This window comes from Homo sapiens, chromosome 7 (assembly GCF_000001405.40).
Source record: "Homo sapiens chromosome 7, GRCh38.p14 Primary Assembly".
Taxonomy (NCBI): Eukaryota; Metazoa; Chordata; class Mammalia; order Primates; family Hominidae; genus Homo; species Homo sapiens.
The window spans coordinates 4204423-4223824 of NC_000007.14; the positions used below are offsets into that span (position 1 = coordinate 4204423).

At 53.7% G+C, this 19402-nt stretch overlaps 1 protein-coding gene across 6 annotated transcripts in view, besides 3 other annotated features; it reads left to right on the plus strand.

Annotated features, from left to right (window-relative positions):
* SDK1 (sidekick cell adhesion molecule 1) overlaps window positions 1-19402 on the plus strand; it is a 967749-nt gene that overhangs the window by 903171 nt on the left and 45176 nt on the right. For all 6 annotated transcript variants that reach the window (NM_152744.4, XM_047420038.1, XM_047420037.1 and 3 more), the window contains 5 exons: window positions 1457-1572; window positions 3677-3863; window positions 5603-5740; window positions 15687-15848; window positions 16817-16942. In NM_152744.4, coding sequence (NP_689957.3) covers window positions 1457-1572; window positions 3677-3863; window positions 5603-5740; window positions 15687-15848; window positions 16817-16942 — 729 coding nt within the window. The remainder of the gene's footprint in view (window positions 1-1456; window positions 1573-3676; window positions 3864-5602; window positions 5741-15686; window positions 15849-16816; window positions 16943-19402) is intronic.
* Window positions 1065-1566: an enhancer, noted in NCBI's record as "H3K4me1 hESC enhancer chr7:4245119-4245620 (GRCh37/hg19 assembly coordinates)". NCBI's record gives its function as "activates a minimal SCP1, AML or CMV promoter by ChIP-STARR-seq in primed H9 embryonic stem cells {active_cell/tissue: H9 hESC(primed)}" and the evidence as "EXISTENCE:reporter gene assay evidence [ECO:0000049][PMID:30033119]".
* Window positions 1567-2066: an enhancer, noted in NCBI's record as "H3K4me1 hESC enhancer chr7:4245621-4246120 (GRCh37/hg19 assembly coordinates)". NCBI's record gives its function as "activates a minimal SCP1, AML or CMV promoter by ChIP-STARR-seq in primed H9 embryonic stem cells {active_cell/tissue: H9 hESC(primed)}" and the evidence as "EXISTENCE:reporter gene assay evidence [ECO:0000049][PMID:30033119]".
* Window positions 12649-13372: an enhancer, noted in NCBI's record as "H3K27ac-H3K4me1 hESC enhancer chr7:4256703-4257426 (GRCh37/hg19 assembly coordinates)". NCBI's record gives its function as "activates a minimal SCP1, AML or CMV promoter by ChIP-STARR-seq in naive H9 embryonic stem cells {active_cell/tissue: H9 hESC(naive)}" and the evidence as "EXISTENCE:reporter gene assay evidence [ECO:0000049][PMID:30033119]".

Sequence of the window (19402 nt, forward strand, 5' to 3'; positions counted from 1 at the left end):
GATAATACGGAAACCACACAGTTAGAACAAAATAAATAGTTGGTGTCAGGCTGAGTGGGTGTTAATTACTATTTTATTCTGCGCTGGGGGGAGAGAGCAGAAAGTGGGGAGGGGGTGATGGGGAAGGGGCGAGTCCTGAGGTCAGTCTCTCCCAAGAAGGCCTCTCCAGAGAGCCGGGTGCTGGGCCATCTCCCTCGGACAGCGACTGTTTTATCGTCTCCATCGATGGTCCGTAAAGACACTCAGTCAAAAGGCTGCACTCCTGGGCCGCAGCCCCGGCGGCAGGCGGAGAGGAGTGCTCGGCTGGCCTCTGCCTCCGGGAGCCAGGCCCCCTGCACAGCTGCCCTGGAGCTCCCCAGGGCCCAGCTCATGGACAGCCGGGAGAGCCCCAGTGGGAGGAGGGAGTAGCAGAGAATAGGCCGTCAAGAGAAAGTGCGCAGCGTGGAATTCAAAGATAGTGTGAAGCTGGCATGGGGCAGACAGGACGGAGGCGTTCTGGAACGCAGGCGTGTGCTCCCAACTGCCTAAATGGCTGTGTGGTGAGGTGCGGAGGTGCGGCCACACCCCTAATGGCGGTGTGGTAAGGCGCGGAGGTGCGGCCGCAACATCCTCATGTGTCCTTTGGTTTGCGTGTGCCATGCAGCCCTGCAGACGCAGACAGCACCCCAGTGAGCTCCTCCCCAGGGGGAGCGAGGGGGCTGGAGGGGAAGACTGGATCCTCAGAACGTGAAGCCAGAGCTGGCCTCAGAGAGCAAAGTGCAGCCATGTTCTCAAACATCGGAGCTTCCTGTCCCTCTTAGAGGGGCAACTCTGTGTATCTGGACGAACTTCATCTAGATCAGGGCTTCATAGCCAGGGATGCCTGAACCTGTCATGGGAACACAGCTATCTTTTCTCTAATCTCAATCAGTAATATTAGTGACAAAAACCACAGCAGTCAGGAGTCCTGTGACTCCCTCGCCGATAGAGCCGCAGTGACCCTGTCACATCCCAGGCATTGCTGGGACCTCAAGTTAACATCCTCACCCACCAATGCTTTGATCTCACAGCAACCATCAGACCAGCCCCTAAGCCTGGTCAGGTATTAACCAAGAAGCACGTGGATTACGATCTCATACCTTTGGTTTCAAATACTCTGCTAACTGTATCTCGGTATAATTATTTTTCTGTGCAATTCTATATATTTTATTGTATGCATTTAAGAACATCGTATGGGAAGGATTTGTGGTCTTCCCTGGCATAAAAGGGCTGAGAGCTCTTAGGGGGACACAGAGCCACGGATCCCAGGACATAACTGTCTAAGGCCTCCTAAGCCAGGGCGACGGCCCAGGGAAGAATCTCTCACATGGTTCCCAGCGGAATTAGGGCATGCTCGAGCCCCATGGGCATGTGGGCGAGGGTCCGGGCCGGCTCTGAATGAACGTCTCAGCTTCTCTCCGCATTGCTCTTTCCTCAGCCCCGGCCATGGCCCCGCAGAACGTGCAGGTGACCCCACTCACGGCCAGCCAGCTGGAGGTCACGTGGGACCCACCACCCCCGGAGAGCCAGAATGGGAACATCCAAGGCTACAAGGCAAGGCCCTCCCGTGCGGTTGCCTCCCCTGGCTCGCTTGGGCACCCCTCGTTCACGTGGTCCTGCCTACTGCATTGCCAGCAGCAGACCCCGCAGGCGCTCCACCTGGAGAGCTGGGGCCCAAGCGTCGGAGCTTGGCTAGACCTGGCCTGTTAACTGTGGTCACAGCTGCTTGTGGGTGGGAGGCAGCACAGGGGCCAGGCTCACTGCACACCTGGCTGTGCCCACCACAAAACAACCCAGGTTGGGGGCCCTTGTTTGTCCACTGGCTTCTCCCCACTCTGGACGCATGGCCTGGCTGGGGAACCCTTCCGTTTCCTGGGCCCATTCTGGAGCCCCCAGTACATTGGCTGACTATAAAAGAACATGGGGCGCCTGGAAGAGACCAGGCTCCCCATCCCAGCTCCCCCCTTGGTCACAGTTGGACACTGAGTGAGTCCCTTGATTCGGTCGGTCCAGGGTGGGGCCCGCCAGTCTCATTCCTCACAAGGTCCCAGATGTGAGGTCCCTGGGAACCCTGCTTTGAGAACCGCCACGGTAACATGTGAGAAGCCCATTGTCACTGGAGGGTCTAGAGATGGGGAGAAAGGAAGGCAGCAGGCCATGACAGGAGAGCGTCGAGTGAGGAATCATTATGTGGGGCTGGGTTATCCATGGGGCGGGAAGCACCTCTCCACGTCCCATCCCTGAGGCCTGGCCTCCTTAGAGAGTACAGGGCCCATAAGCATCCGGGGTCTTTGCCATGAAAACGCCCCCATCCTTCTCCTAAATAAATTCCCCTGTCTATTCTGCTGGGACCCAAGTCGATCAGTCATCAGATTCTGGGGGCTAGCCTCCCCTAATGACTATTGGACCGATTAAATGTCCATTTAAAGATGGTTTTTGCAGGTGTGTTATGAAAATTAATACCTTCCTCCATGGCAGGGCTGTTACAGTGATGAATGAGCTAATGGAGAGCCCCATGAGCTTGGAGGCATGGCGCTATTTATGTATGTCCAAAATATGTTTTCTAATTTCCTTAATGATAAAGACACTGATCTTGGATATTGATCTCAAGTTAGCAAGGCCTGGGCGAGCGGAAGATCTTAGACGGTCAATTCAGTGAGCAGAAGCCCACTACATCCTGCAGGTGGAAATGAACGATGCTCACCAGTCAGGGCCTGCCCAGCAAGAGCAAGGCGGGCGGGTGTGCGAGGCAGGCGTGCCAGCCCTGGGGCGCTCCAGGCTGCCTCCCCGAAGCCTCCGTGCTGCCTTTTCACATGGGCAAGCCGCTCTAACAGCCTGGCCCTGGTTTAGACCCACAGAGCCAAGGTGGGTCTTCTGATTGGTGTTGTCTTTGGGCAGCCTGGCTGGCACTGGTCGGAGGTAGCAGTGGTTTCCGGCCAGCTGTCTAGGGAAGCAATTCTGGCAACCTCTTTAAACCTTTGTGCTTGGGCGTCAAGTTCAACTACAAGCACATAAAAGCTAGACAAGAGGAAATGGCACCCCAGAGGAATGAGGCCTTCCCAGCAGCCCTGAGCCCAACATAGTTCTCCTGCCTGTTGTTTTTGATTGCTTTAATCTCCAAAGTATATTGCCATATTGAGGAAAACTTAGATGTCGGCTCTGAATAAAATGTGGGAACACATCGTAGGAGTTGGGGGTTTGTTGTCTCCATAGCTCGGAGCAGGGGGTGGACACGGGGCGGCTTCCCTTCTCTCCAGAAGATGGGGGAGAGGGAGAGGCCAAAAATCAAAACACCAACAGAGCTAGGTCTGCAAGGAAAGGCACATCATCGGCAGCTGAAGGGCAGCTTCCCTTCCGTCCTCACAACTTATCTTCAACAGCGCTTTGTTTAACGAGGCAATGCTCATACTCTAGGTGAGCAACAGGAAAATGTTAAACATCGTCTCCCAAACAACATTAGCAGCCAGGGGTCCCCGTCCATACACAGTAGCCTCAGCTTCTCCCTGATTCCTCCAGGAGGGAGCCTTTCCACCTTCCCACCCAGCACAGCTCGCCCCAGAACTCAGCTCACCCCCTCGCTTTGACCTTACACTCAGTGGCCCCCGCTTACTGGAAGGCTTCCCCAGGACCCACCCCAACCTCTTGCTGTTCCTAACAGATTTACTACTGGGAGGCAGACAGCCAGAACGAAACGGAGAAAATGAAGGTCCTCTTCCTCCCCGAGCCCGTGGTGAGGCTGAAGAACCTGACCAGCCATACCAAGTACCTGGTCAGCATATCAGCCTTCAACGCCGCCGGAGATGGACCTAAGAGTGACCCCCAGCAGGGGCGCACCCACCAGGCCGGTAGGAGGAAGGCGGGTTTCCTTTGGGCAGGCCTCCTTGGACACGTGTTTTGAGAGCGCCAGCTCAGGTCCCCTCACACAGTGGTTCCCGGCCCGCCCAGGCGGAAGGCAACACCTTTTGAGTAGCTGGGAGTTTCTGGATGGGCAGGACTGGGTTTGGCTCATTTGTTCTCCCTGTGCCTGGCCTCAGACTGGTACACAGTGGCGCTAAATAAATGTTAGGTGGGTTGGAGCAATGCATGCTTTTTCCCAGAGCCCTGGAGATTCAGAGGGGAGGAAGGGCTTTGAGTCTGCAGCAAGGCCTCGTTCATAACTGACAGCATCCATTCCAGTTCCTCCAAGAAATGGAACTTCCCATCAGGGGCGCCTGATGGCATGTCCAGATCCTTGGGGGTAGGCTCCTCGGGCAGTAAATCCAGGCCACAGCGACGGGAATTCCCCTGGGTCTCAGGGCCACAGACCACCCCTGGAGACTGCTCACTACACACATGCCACGGGCCAGTCCCGAGGGCTCAGACAGGTGCTGCGCTGCTGTGGCCTCATCTCCACGCACAGGGCGCAGCGCCTGTTCTCAGTCGACCCCTCTTCCAGCGCATCTCAGTTTCCTAGCAGCCTGGAGGATGCTGTGAAGCTGCTTGGCCTTGGGCTCTGAGGAGCTCTCCAAGGCCCTCTGTAGGATTCTGGAAGTCTGAGAGACTGGGAGAGTGAGGTCTGGGAACCGTGGGCAGAGACGCAGGGCTCAGGGCCTTCCGACATTCCATGGGTTCAGCTGACCCACAGACAATGGACTCCGGGAATCAGGGCCCCTTGGCATCAAACTCTCATGTGCTGACCACAACCAGGTTGCAAGGACCACTTCCTTTGGCTTCATCCAGTGCCCGCATCTGAGCTGGAAGGATGTGGGCAGATCTGTAGGCAGAGATGAGGGTAGAGCCATGTTGAGCACTGCCGGCCTGGCAGGTCACAGCTGTGGGTCCCAGAGACTGGAGGGAGGGCAGAGAGGGAGGAGGGTGGGTGCCACTTCACAGGCACTTCTGAGCAGCGAGGGGCACCAGGGCGAGGAGAGTAGGTCCCCCACCTAGGCTGTCTGGTAGGGGCAGCCCCAGTACACGCCCACCTTACACGGCGCCCGGGCAGAGGGGGAGCTGCCAGCAGGCTCCACATCACCCCGGCCACACACCTGACCTTCAGTAGCTCTAGATATTTCCACCAGCTCCCTCCCCGCTCCAGACCCAGGGGGACACTCAGCCTGGAGAGTGTGGTGGGAGATTTCACGTGCAGGAGCCAGGGGTGTCCCCCAAAACCCCCAGGCCTCTGAGGGAGAGGCGAGGAGGGGTCAAGAGAGGCTTCATCCATCACAGAGCTCCGTCTCTCCGGCAAAGAGCAGGACTAGAGCTTCTGGAATCCTCCAGCAGTTGCTAGAAAATGGAGCTCCCTGCGTTTCATTTTCTATTTCCATCTATTATTCATTTTTATGCCTTTGCCGTTTTGTCTCTCAAGCCCCTTTGTGTTTAAACACTGTCATTTTCTCCACTCTTCTCAGGAGGGTCTGCGTGTCTGATTGATCCTCGGAAGTTCTGAGGTGATCAATAAATCTTTTCATTTTATGACATTCAGACTTTTACTGAGTTGAAAATAACATCGAATAACATTTTTTATTCTATACGGAGGCACAGACATGTATGTATATGATCTATGTAGGAGCCCCTGTAAAAGTCACTTTGTGTTCTATTCTCCCAGCCCCTGGGGCCCCCAGCTTTCTGGCGTTCTCAGAAATAACCTCCACCACGCTCAACGTGTCCTGGGGCGAGCCTGCGGCGGCCAACGGCATCCTGCAGGGCTATCGGGTGGTGTACGAGCCCTTGGCCCCTGTACAAGGTAAGACCCGGGGTTGGGGAGATGGGAGCGCGGGCCACACCAGTGCCCAGCCCTCTGCAGTCTACACAGTGAGCCGCACCTGACCGCTTCTGTGGGCCAGGAGCCTTCTGGCGCCTGAAGTGGGGGGTTTTGGAATCTGAGCTGGACGGGGCTGGAGCTGAGTGCGAGGGGAGCGGGGACTCGCGGGGAAAGGCCTGTGAGGAAAAGCTGAGCCAAGACCAGACCTCTGTGTTCTGAGACCAGAACGGCACTCTCCCTCTGAAGCCGTGTCATATATGCCCTTGATCCTGTCTCTGTCACACTCAAGACATTCCTCTCCTATTCCTCCCGAGATGTTTGTCCTGTGGTCGCCGACAGAGACCACCCAGGGTTCCACTTGAAGCCACGCCTCACAACACAGGCCTTCGGCTACCCTCAGCATCCTAGGAGGGATGCTGGCATCCCCGTGTCTTAGCACCCTGGTGCTCCCCTCGCTCATCCGTCCCCTCAGCGGACATCTATGAAGCTCCTGTTCTACATGCTGGAAAAGCCAAGACATGCTCCAGATGCTGGAATCGAGGACCTGGGAAAGCCAGGATTTTGACTGGCTTGTTTATCAGGTCCCTGGCTTTCCTGCGTCCAGGCAGTTCCTATTCCAGGGCAGAGGTAACACACAGGTAATTAAATCAGCAAACAACAGCCCGAGCGTGATCAGTGCTTTGGAGGAAAGAGAGGAGGGCTAACACAAGAGGCTTAGGGAAGAGACCGGAGTGACAAGGGCCCGGACACACAAGAATCCTGGGGAAGATCTTCCGAAGGGAGGATCCGCCAATCTAGGGGCCCACGGTGGGCAGAGCTTGGGTGGTGCTGGTGGCTGGAGCTTGGTGAGTGGGGTGCAGGCACTGCAGGCCACAGCACACGGGGCTATGGCATATCCCACTGGAGAGTGACACAGGAGCAGGAGGACCTGACCTCCCCAAGACCAGGATCCCTCGGGCCCAATCCCCCGTCTCAGTGTCACGATGGAAAGAAGCTATCGTTCATCTCCACACTTCCTAGATCAACCGGAAACAGCTTCCATAGAAGAGCAGGGAAGGTGTTGCCAACACAGAGGACTTTGAAAGAGGAAATGTCAGGGGCTTGACAGTGAGTGACAGGTGAAAACGGAAGGTGGAATGCAGATGGCTCGGAGGAGAACGGGTGGCAGAGATTCTGTAGACCAGGGAGTGAGGAGGCCGGCCGGGGCTGTGGCATCATCCTACAGGAGAGCGGCGAGAAGGGGAAGGGTGCGGGGGCAGGGGAGGAGGGCTCAGATCAGGGGTGTGTATTGAAGGTGGAGCTGGTGGGGTACTGGCGTGAAGTGGAGGAATGGGGGTTGCGGGCAGGTGGCTCTGCCCTGCTGTGCATGTGGCTGCTGCTCTGCACCTGCTGGGTCAGTGCACACCCTGCTCAGGTATTTGTTCTTGTTTTTGTTTCTGTTTTTTTTGAGACGGAGTCTTGCTCTGTCTCCCAGGCTGAAGTGCAGTGGCACGATTTCTGCTCACTGCAAGCTCCGCCTCCCGGGTTCGCACCATTCTCCTGCCTCAGCCTCCCGAGTAGCTGGGACTACAGGCGCCCACCACCACGCCCAGCTAACTTTTTGTATTTTTAGTAGAGACAGGGTTTCACCATGTTAGCCAGGATGGTCTCGATCTCCTAACCTCGTGATCCACCTGCCTCGGCCTCCCAAAGTGCTGGGATTACAGGCGTGAGCCACCGTGCCCGACCCCTGCTTAGGTGTTATTCCAGTGCCTTCTGTGTCCCTCTCTCCTGCCATCCAGACACCAATGTGTCCACCAAAGATTCCGGTCTGGGAGGCACGTCTTTCCCACCACACTGGGGTGAAATACAAGTCCAGCTGTCTCTGCCTTATGGTCCAGGGCAAGTTTCCCCCTGTAATATACACAGACAGACTGTAAAAATTATAGATTATTTAATGTCTGCGAGGAAAAAATACAACGAGCACATCAAAGAATATCGGCGCTCCATTTAAAGCCGTGATAAAAGTTTCCTTTAAAAATAAGCACATTTAGATGAAACGGAGTTGATTTGATGAAGAAAATTTAAGCACTAGTTTTTTATTTCACTGAATCTCAGATGCCATTCACTGTAAGATTCATCATTATTTTATGAAGTGCTCAGAAAGAAAAAATGCTCCCAATAAACCAGAGCCCAATACTTTTGTATCATCAATTCTGAGCTGCATCCCAAATCGGAGATGTGAAAATCCGAGAAAGAAAAAAAAAATCACGTCTTAGACAATCGATGGACTTTGGTAAATAACAGTAGAGGTGAGATGTGGGCATGGTTTTTGAACCAGCAGAGAGGGCATGGGAGGGACGGGGATTTAGTGTGGCCACTTCGAGGGGCGGCCAGGATCTGTTGTGACCTTCCGAGTGCCCAGCACCTGCCTGGGAGCCAGGGGGCCTGGACGAGGCTGCCTTCGAGGTCCCACAGCAGAGGCCCAGAAGCAGGCATGCCATTTGCTCTTGCTTGTCCTGCAGGGAGAAACAGTAGAGAATTTTGGAGACACACACGGGTTCCATGAGCCTGTGTTACAAATGCCTTTTCAAGGGTCATAACCAACGAGGACCATTTAAATGAGAATTGACTGTGAAAGCTTCATAGTTCTGATTGACCTGTGAGTCCTTCCTAATCAAAGGCAGCTCAGGTTTTCCCATTCTTCCTCAAGTAAGTGACTGGTTCTGCTCCCCAGTCTTCTGTGTTAATGGATTTGCAGAATCTCCGTGGAAACTCCATGGTGTGTGCCTCTGGGCTTCTCTCTTGGGCTGCTGCTCTTAGTCTTGTGAGAAAGTGCTTCATGGGCTGGGCGCAGGGGCCTGTAATCCCAGCACTTTGGGAGGCCGAGGTGGGCGGATCACAAGGTCAAGAGATCGAGACCATCCTGGCCAACATGGTGAAACCCCGTTTCTACTGAAAATACAAAAATTGGCTGGGTGCAGTGGCTCACACCTGTAATCCCAGCACTTTGGGAGGACGAGGCAAGTGGATCACGAGGTCAGGAGTTCAAGACCAGCCTGGCCAAGATGGTGAAACCCCATCTCTACTAAAAATACAAAAAATTAGCTGGGCATGGTGGCACGCACCTGTAATCCCAGCTACTCCAGAGGCTGAGGCAGAAAATTGCTTAATCCTGGGAGGCGGAGGTGGCAGTGAGCCGAGATCGCGCCACTGCACTCCAGCTTGGGCGACAGAGCAAGACTCCGTCTCAAAAAAAAAAAAAGAAAACAAAAATTAGCTGGGCATGGTGGCATGTGCCTGTAGTCCCAGTTACTCGGGAGGCTGAGGCAGGAGAATGGGTTGAACCCGGGAGGTGGAGGCTGCAGTGAGCTGAGATCGCACCACTGCACTCCAGCCTGGTGACAGAGCGAGATTCTGTCTCAAAAAAAAAAAAACCAGTACTTCATTCCAGGCAAGGCCATTCCATGGGTCATTACCCAGTCAGAAGTGCCGCACAGGGGCCTCGATGTGTTGGGTCCTCTTCTCTCTGCAGTTTCACTCCCCTAGAATTGTTTCTTGGCTTCTACCAAACCTTCCCCCTAGCCCAGTCTCCCAGACACAAGACCCTGCACATCTGGCTTCCCTTGTGTTTTCAGTGTTGCCGTTTCTTGTTCGTTTCATGACAGTTTTTGCATCACTGGGAAACTCAAAGCATTCGGAAGATTTTTAGACAATCCTTTCAGCATGTCCCGCTTACATGGGCATTCTGTGTTCTCGCTATACACAGGCACCCCCCAGGTATAATCACAGTGATAGGTGATGTTTGTTGAGCTCAAGTCGGGCACTGTGCTCAGCACTTAACATCCGCTATCTCCAAATCCTCAGAACGGCTCTACCTTGTGGCTGCAGCTTTTCTTCTCCTCCCGCAGACAGAGAGATTGGGCTCAGAGCCACAAAGACATTTGCCCAAGGCCTGCGTTTTGAAAATAATGACGAGGGTTGGGATTTGAACCCAGGTGTTCTGAGTCCAGAGCCAAGGCCTAAACTGCTCCATGATGGGCAGAAAGCGTCTGGAGCACTTGTGTTTCTGAAAGTAAATGTGAAGGTGAACTTCAGAGATGGGGCTTGAGGAGGATTCACTAAAGCGTTTTATATTCTAGACAAACCGCTGGCTGCACAGCCGAGTAGGGGGCCTGTCTCTCCCCTGGATGGCAAAAGGTGGAGTCACTTTAGTCACAACCGTTTTCGCCTCTTTTCACAAATAGCAAGACCGTCCGTCACCAGCCTTGTCTCTTTTGTCTGTTGCGAAGGGCTGGTTCCTTCATCCTGGATTTTCCTGGCTTTGCAACCGAGGCAATGTGCTCTGAGATTAGAGCGAGAGGGGAGCAGCACTGTCTTGCTTTGCAGCTCCTTCCTTGGCTCTGCAGGCTGAGGGGCGGCCAGGATCTCAGCAGAAAAAGCTCCATCAGGCCTCCCCGGGTGTCAGGAAGAACAAGCCATGCAGACCCCCCACGTTTGGGCTTGCTGGGGGCTTGGGCACGTTCCAGACTTCGGATTCCTGCACATCAGTCAAGCAGCGGATCCAGGTGTGGATTGCCCAGCGGTGCTGGTGACATGAGGCGTCCAGCCCCCACCCAATGGCCTTATAGAGCTTCCTCTAGACATGACACCTGGCTCTGACTAAGCCATGGGGCCCCCGCCGGGGTCTTTCCCGCCACAACACCGTCAGTCTGCAGGCACCATCATCCGTGGTCCGGCTCCAGCCGGGATGAGCCTGAGTCTGGCTATAGGTTCCAGATCCCTCCTGGCTTCTCCCTCGGGCAGGACTCAGCAACCCTGCCCCCCAGTGCCACCCAGGTGGACCTCATGGCTGCCTGGGGAAGGCCCTCCTCACCACAAATGCCAGCAGAGCCTCGGGACCCTGGCGCTCGCCTGCCTCCCCTGATGGTATTGGCCAGAACCCTGGCTCGCCGAGACACTAACCCCAGGCCTGTCCGACAAGCCACATCCCGTACCCACATACGTCAAAAGAAGAACGTGGACCAAGAGAGGATGGCAGATCAGACTCACTGAGTCAGCTTATATCTCATCGGGGGCCAGAGCACTGGCATCTGATGAAGATTCCCAATTGGTGGGTGGTGAAGGTGGAGGTGGCAGAGGCGGAGGGGCCTATCTCTCCCTTCTCCTGAGTCCAGGCCTTGGGCGGAGTCCCCCTACACCGACTCTGCGCTGGGCCACGGGATTCGCTTCAGCCAGCGGGACAATAGCTGTCATGAGGCAAGCAGCTTCAAAAGCATTTGCACGTGGGAGGCACCCTGGTCCTCCTGCTGCCCTTGGAACCCAACCACCATGTGAACACACCTGGGCTGGCCTGTGGGGTGACAGTCACGCACGGCCCAGCATGGGAGAGGGGCCACCTGGGCCAGCCAACCCCCAGTGAGACTCAATGTGTGACCGCAGACATGCTGAGTCTAGTGCAGGCCAGCCCGGCCAAAGGACTGCCCCGCGGTACGGGAGCTGGTTTGGTGGTGGTGGTTTTGAGCCACTCGGTTTTGGAGTGGTTTGGTTCACAGCCGTGCATGAGAGAGGTACAGCAGGTGAGGAGTCCATGTTGATTGTGGAGCACCTATTACTTGATGCGTTCTTAGACAATAGTCAGAGTTGGGGTCCTGACTATCGGCTGGGCACTCCCACTCATCCCCCCTGCCCTGCTCCACTCCTCACCGTGGTCCTATGAGGTAAGCGCTGCCAACCTCAGAGCAGAGGGAGAAACTGAGGACTCTGCAGAGACCACATGTCCTGCCCAGCCTCACACAGGGAGCAAGCAGTGGGCTTCAGACCACTCCCATCCCCGTTCCTGCATTCTCTCTTCCTCCCAGCTGACTCTGCAGATACCACAACCGGCCTTGGCAGGAACGTGGTTCAGGAAGCACTCATCCTGGCAGCTGCTCTCTGCCTGCAGGCATTTCTGAGTGTCTTGGCCTCCTGAGGCTGGGGAAGGGAGGACGTGAACTCTCTGTTGAATGTGGGAGGATGCCGGGATAGCTTGAAAAGGACGACAACGCCACACGATGGAGTGTGGCCAAGGGCAGGGTGGTTGACAGAAGGCAACGACTGGGAAAAAGCAAAGCAGCTTCGTGCACCCCGTGGAGGTTACACCATCCAGCCCTCACTGCCCTGCACCTCCACACCCAGACTGGCCCCGCCCCACGGCCGCTGCTCCCACTCTCACCCGGAGGGGCTGCACTCCCGTCTGCTCCTCCCCGAGGCCCCTAGGAGACAACTGTGCCTGCGTGGGGGACTCTGAAAAATCCAGACTCTAACCCTTTCACTATTGCATCAGGATTCCCAACGGGGAACCACAAAAGCGGTAACTGGACCTCCACATGACTTTCAATATTTTGCTCATGGAGTCTGTGCGTGTCCCAGGGAAACAGTTGCAAACGCAGTGAAACATCAGGCATCCTTGAAGTATATTGTGATGACAAAATATTTTAAAATATGGTAAAGATAGTTAAAAAGTAAACAGTGATCTCACCTGGTAGGGGATCTGTGGGGTCTTCTGACCTCTTTCCACACCTCCTCACCCAGAACCAGGTCTGTGCCTGACATCTGCAAACTCTTGGCTGGGCATTGACCAGTCGGGCCAAGGCAAATAGAGGGTACAGCATTTACCCGGTATGGGCAGCTCCTCTAGTCACTCCACTGTGAACACAGTCGTGGCTCATCCTGTGTGCTGGGCAGAGCCCAGGGCCATCCCCAGCCATCCCCGTCACTCTAGGGAACACTCCTCGAACCCCTGGGACATCACATTGTCCAGAGCACCAGGCCACCCGGAGCACCACACCACCCGGAGCACCAGGCCACCCGGAGCACCACACCACCCGGAGCACCAGGCCACCCGGAGCACCACACCACCCGGAGCACCAGGCCACCCGGAGCACCACACCACCCGGAGCACCAGGCCACCCGGAGCACCACACCACCCGGAGCACCAGGCCACCCGGAGCACCACACCACCCGGAGCACCACACCCCCCGGAGCACCCTGCCACCCGGAGCACCAGGCCACCCAGAGCACCAGGCCACCTGGAGCACCAGGCCACCCGGAGAACCACACCACCCGGAGCACCAGGCCACCCGGAGAACCACACTACCTGGAGAACCAGGCCACCCGGAGCACCAGGCCACCCGGAGAACCACGCCACCCGGAGAACCAGGCCACCCGGAGCACCAGGCCACCCGGAGCACCACACCACCCGGAGCACCAGGCCACCCGGAGCACCAGGCCACTCGGAGAACCACACCACCCGGAGCACCACACCACCCGGAGCACCAGGCCACCCGGAGCACCACACCACCCGGAGCACCACACCACCCGGAGCACCACACCACCCGGAGCACCAGGCCACCCGGAGAACCACACCACCCGGAGCACCACGCCACCCGGAGCACCAGGCCACCCGGAGAACCACACCACCCGGAGCACCAGGCCACCTGGAGCACCAGGCCACTTGAGCACTCAGCCATGTGCTTGGGAATCCGATTTTATGGCAGAGCTATTTTTACATTTTTTAAAATGTTTTTAATGGTGGTGGTTTATGGGATTGTACCCTGAGGCTTTGTAGTGCTGGGCATGGTTTAAAAATTGATTAAATAAATAAAATTCTGACACACCTGAAATGGGGAGAAGGCCAGGCTGGCTCTGCCTCCTGTGGGATAGAATTTACAAAATCTGTACCTGGGTTTGTTTTTGCTCCAGGGAGAAGGAAGGCATTTTTAACAATGAAAAAAAAAGTTGCTCTCTAGAATCACTTTACATTGGACAGGACCCAGTTTGTGTGTTGATGACAGTCACTATGTGCACAAACTGCCATCCTCATCACCTCTCTGAGCAATGGAAGGTCAGTGCTCACACATGCCCCATTCCTCTACAGGAAAACCCAGTTTTGGAGGGTCACCCAAAAGTAGCCAAAATTGGCCCCAGGCACGGTGGCTCATGTCTGTAATTCCAGCACGTTGGGAGGCCGAGGTGGGCAGATCACTTGAGGTCAGGAGTTTAAGACCAGCCGGGCCAACATGGTGAAACTAAAAATACAAAAATTAGCCAGGCATGGTGGCATGCGCCTGTAATCCCAGCTACTCATGAGGCTAAGGCAGGAGAATCGCTTGAACTCAGGAGGTGGAGGTTGCAGTGAGCTGGGATCGCACCACTGCACTCCAGCCTGGATGACAGAGCGAGACTCCGTCTCAAAAAAAAAAAGCCAAAATTGCTCTGAAATAATTCGGAAGAAAATAATTTAGCTGAATATATGTTTGATAAAAGGCATAATATATGAAAACACTGAACCAGCTAGAAGATATGTTGGAGATTTTTAGGATAAGAGAAATTTGCTTTGATGGCTTTGAAAGATGGACCCGTTTTGTAGTAGGAAGGCGCTTTGTTCTGTTCTGAAGTGGAGATGACTGGGGTATTCCAGGTGCTGACTAGCAGCGCACGACCCTCCCGCACCAAGGCAGCCATTTCTTAGGGCTGACAGCAGGAGGGCAGGGCTGGGCAGGTGGACTCAGGACGGTGGGTGCCACTCACCAAGGGCAGCTCTTCTCAGGGATGCTCCTTGGAAAATGAGCTCTGCCAATCGGTCCATCCTGGAAGTACCACACCTTGATATCCTCCTCCAAGAGCTGCCTGGTGGAGATTAATCTATTGAAAGTTCTGAGAAGTCCAGCAGTTGAGAACTTATCTAACTGTTTTTTTTTTTAATGCATCATTTTCAAACTTGTTTAACCAAAGAACTTGATTTTTCCTTCTGGAAAATGCTGCATATGTGTAATTTTCAATATTTATTCTCTCCCCTAAAATGTGAAATCTCCATTTTCTATTTCTAGGTAATCCAACCAGCAAGACTTTTGCATGATCACTTGTTTATAACATCCCATAGGTTTGAGGACGTTTGTCTCTATGTTGCCATCGTCCTCTGAATCGAGGCATCAATACTTGCAGTGAAATTAATTAATTTTTTAAATCCTGGCTTCAGAGTCCACAGATGAAGTTCTTATGACTCATTTGAGGCCTGTAGGCCGCAAGTTGGCCAACCCAGGCAGGCTGCAGCCTCCTCGTGGGGTCTAACTAGATGGAGTATCTTCCTACATCTTGTATACGCTCCCTGTGTTAATCTGTTCTCACACTGCTAATAAAGACATACTTGAGACTGGGTAATTTATAAAGGAAAGAGATTTAATGGACTCACAGTTCCACATGGCTGGGGAGGCCTCACAATCATAGTGGAAGGCAAAGGAGAAGCAAAGTCACATCTTACATGGTGGCAGGCAAGAGAGCATGTGCGGAGAACCTCCCATTTATAAAACCATCAGATCTCATGAGACGTATTCACTACCACGAGAACAGAATGGGAGAAACAGCCCTCATGATTCAATTATCTCCCCCAGGCCCCACCTTGACAAGTGGGGATTATTACAATTCAAGGTGAGATTTGGGTGGGGCACAGCCAAACCCTATCACTCCCCTCCCTCGTGACTATGTCAGGAAGCTTGCAGTCACCTTACAAGTGACACCAGACTTTGCACAGCTCAGAGCCAAGTGGGAAGGGACATTCCCTGGAGTGTCCAACCTGGAGAATGGCAGGACCGCCCCCCTTCCCCCGCCCCCGCTCCTCCCTCCCCTCCCCGCTCCTCCTTCATATCATTCCTGAGACGGCAGCCTCCCCCTTTTGTGTTGTCAGCCTCAGTTGTTTTCTTTGTCAGCACCCACTTACCAAGCTTAAGCTCTAATTACACTTATCTGTGCTGAAAATTGGCTATTACCACCATATAAACTCCTAATAGTAAGAAATACTTCCTTAGCAAACTGCAGGGACCACTTTCCTTGTTATCGCAACAGAACAGACAGTGGACAGTTGCTTCTCCAGGCTGAACCCCCTTGTTTCCTTTGCTTCTGGCGGCTGCAGGGGTGAGCAAGGTGGTGACCGTGGAAGTGAGAGGGAACTGGCAGCGCTGGCTGAAGGTGCGGGACCTCACCAAGGGAGTGACCTATTTCTTCCGTGTCCAAGCGCGGACCATCACCTACGGGCCCGAGCTCCAAGCCAATATCACAGCCGGGCCAGCCGAGGGTAAGTGGAACTCCAGGGGCAGACAATGTCAATTGCAACTTTAGCCTCCCGCCTCCTGCTTCACTGAGCTGAGATCCATCTACATGGTCAACAAGGTGATGTTGGCGGCCAAGAGCTGGCATCAACTCGGGGATGTCTGGGCAACATGGACGTCTTCAAAAGCACGCGTCAACATGGAGTTTGCAGGTGGACTTGTTACATCCATGGGCACATTGTTAAATATTAAGCATGTCAAGTTTTAGTTGTTTTTTTTTTTTTTTGAGAAATCTTAAGAGGAAAATAACTGAATTTGGCATTTGAAATAAATCAGAAAATTTTAAAGTTTTCCAGGTCATGGGGAAGAAGCATGTACCTTCCCACTTATCCAACTGTTCTGCCCTTTGTTTAAAGACAGGAAGGCGTGGGCTGCAGAACCGGCATTCAGGGAGTGCTGCTTAGTCCCGGGCACAGTGTGGGGTGCCCTGCACCTGCCAGCTCTTTCAGGCCCTCTTCAGGTTTTTTTGTTGTTGTTTGTTTTTTGAGACAGGGTCTCACTCTGTCACCCAAGCTGGAGTGCAGCAGCATGATCATAGCTCACTGCAGCCTCAACCTCCCCCGGCTGAAGCGATACCCCCACCCCCCACCCCGCCTCACCCTCCTGAGTAGCTGGGCTACAGGTGCAAGCCACCACACCTGGCTACTTTTTTTTGTATTTTGTAGAGACAAGTTTTTGCAATGTTGCCCAAACTCCTGGGCTCAAGCGATCCACCTATCTCAGCCTCCCAAAGTGGCTTTCAGGCGTGAGCCACCACGCCCGGCCTTGCCTCCCTGTTATTAAGATGAAAAACCCTGGGTGCGTGAGGTTAAGTAACCTGCCCAGACACTCTGCAGCCTCGACCGGTCTGACCCCCCACTGTGAAATCTCACGGGGTGGGATGTGAGCCCCGCAGGGCTGATGCCTCACCTCTCTTTTCTTCTTTATCCCGCAGGATCCCCGGGCTCGCCTAGAGATGTCCTGGTCACCAAGTCCGCCTCTGAACTGACGCTGCAGTGGACTGAGGGACACTCTGGCGACACACCTACCACGGGCTATGTGATCGAGGCCCGGCCCTCAGGTAGGGTGGCAGGCCCCACAAACGGGGTCTCAGCCCAGCGGACGGCAGTGCTTCTAAGACTGTGTCGGGGGCTTCCATCACTTTCTCTTTCAGCATTTTCCCCCCACAAAGCTGGGACCAAGAGGGCGGTTTTGGTGAAAGAAGACATCCATGGCTCACTCAGCTCCTCCCAGTCTTCATAGTCACAACTGTGCGGTTCACCTTAAGGGCATACGCTTTGGGATGTTTTAGCCCCAGGACACTTACTTAGGATGATAATGGTTATTCCTAGAAACAGGTGAATGAGAACTTAGGGACACTAAAAGGCATTTTCAAACTCATCCATGAATGTTTTCAGGGACTCATGTCAGGGTTCTAAATGTTTGCTGCCGAGATGGAAAACGTCAGGCTTGTTTCTGATAATACGAAGATTCTTATTAATAGTGAAACCGACACATCGTTTGCTTCATTTTTTAGGCTTCCGAAAATGAGGTCTAAGATCCATTTCCAGCCTTATTCACCAGAATAATTTTTTTCACCCTTCCTTCCATTTGCCTTTAATAACTAAGGATGGGCATTATTGGGAAATGAGTTTCTGATCGGGTGCGTCGGATATGACTGCTTGGAGCTAGTGGGTATCACCTAACACAGAAAGCACGGAACAGCTCCAATATGACCTTCAGATGGTTGCACAGTTAATCATGAACATCTGAGCATGAAAATATGTGATGTGTCAGGGACGCTATTCAGGAAGCAAACCATCAAACCCCACCTGCCAATCTGGCAGGACCACGGTGCTAGGAACTAGTTTAGTCTAATACTTAAACAGGCTATTAGACCAAGAGGAAAGACCCCAAAGCTACATCTGTCACTGTGTCAGGACACTCGTTCCCTCCTCCCCCACCAAATTGCTTTTGAAAGATTATTAGTTACAAGTGCTTTCTAGAAACTTCTTTATTTTATTTTTTTGAGACAGAGTCTCTTTCTGTCACCCAGCCTGGAGTGCAGTGGTGCAATCTCAGCTCCCTGCAATCTCTGCCTCCCGGGTTCAAGCAATTCTCCTGCCTCAGCCTCCCGAGTAGCTGGGATTACAGGCACCCGCCATCACGCCCGGCTAATTTTTATATTTTTAGTAGAGAGGGGGTTTCACCATGTTGGCCAGGCTGGTCTCAAACTCCTGACCTCAAGTGATCTACCCTCCTCGGCCTCCCAAAGTGACAGGATTACAGGCCTGAGCCACGGTGCCCAGCCGCCTTCTAGAAACTTCTAAGGAGAAACCTAGTGCAGAAGCGTGAAAAAGCCAAAGGCAACATAAACATTTCTTTGGCTCAATAACTCAGAAATCCAGACGTGCTCGCCTGGGGGACCCTGAGAGTATCTTTTGAGCAGGGCGTCTGTCCTGTTGTGGAAACAGAGGGTCCTGAGTTGGTAAAGGATGTGAGTTTGGCAGGGGCCTCCTGTGGTCACTGCCTGTGAAAGCCCATGGCCCCTCACACAGCCAGCTGGCCCTTTGCTAATGACTTTGATTCAAGAGCACTTTCAGAGACTGACAGGAGCTGAGACGTGTGGGTTCTGGGGCCAAATTGAGGCTTTGTGGAGGCCAAGGGGGAGGGAGCTGGTGGCAGGGAGCAGCCCAGACTTAAGAAACCACTTCAGACACTTTCCTCCCCATATCCAGGGAGAGCACCGATTTCTTCCTCAACTCTTCCAGCCTGGGTGACAGAGCAAGGCTCCGTCTCAAAAAAAAAAAAAAAAGTTTCTAGAAGGCACTTGTAACTAATAATCTTTCAAAAGCAGGTTGGTGGGGGAGGAGGGTACGAGTGTCCTGACACAGTGACAGATATAACAAATAGGATCCAGGCGTTCACAAATAGAATTCAGGAGATCCGTGAGCTTGGATGGGGAAAATACACATTTTATTTTCACTGACCTCTAACTAGAATTTGGCATTTCCTGTAATTATGGATGCAGGCACATTCGTTATCCAGGGCTGCCTTAGCAAAGTCCCACAAACTAGGCAGCCTCCACAACAGACATGGGTTGTCTCACAGTTCTGGAGGCCGGAAGCCCACAGTCAAGGTGGCAGCAGGGCAGGCTCCTCCTGAGGCTGTGAGGGAGGATCTGTTTCCTGTAACCTCTCCCCCACTTCTGGTGATTACAGGCCATCCTGGGTGATCTGGGGCTGACAGGTGCTTCACCCATCTCTGCCTTCATCTTCCCATGGTGATCTCCCTGTATGTGTGTCTGCATCTCAGTTTTATCTTTTATGAGGACGCCAGTCATACTAGACTGGGGACCCACTCTACTCCGGCAGGACTTCATCCTAACTAATTACATCTGCAACTACCCTATTTCCAAATAAGCTCATTGGGAGGTATTGGGGGTTCGGACTTCAACGTATGAATTTGCAGTGGGGGGCAGAGACATAATTCAATGCATAATATTAGCTAAGAAACCACATAACTCATAGTAGGCCCTGTG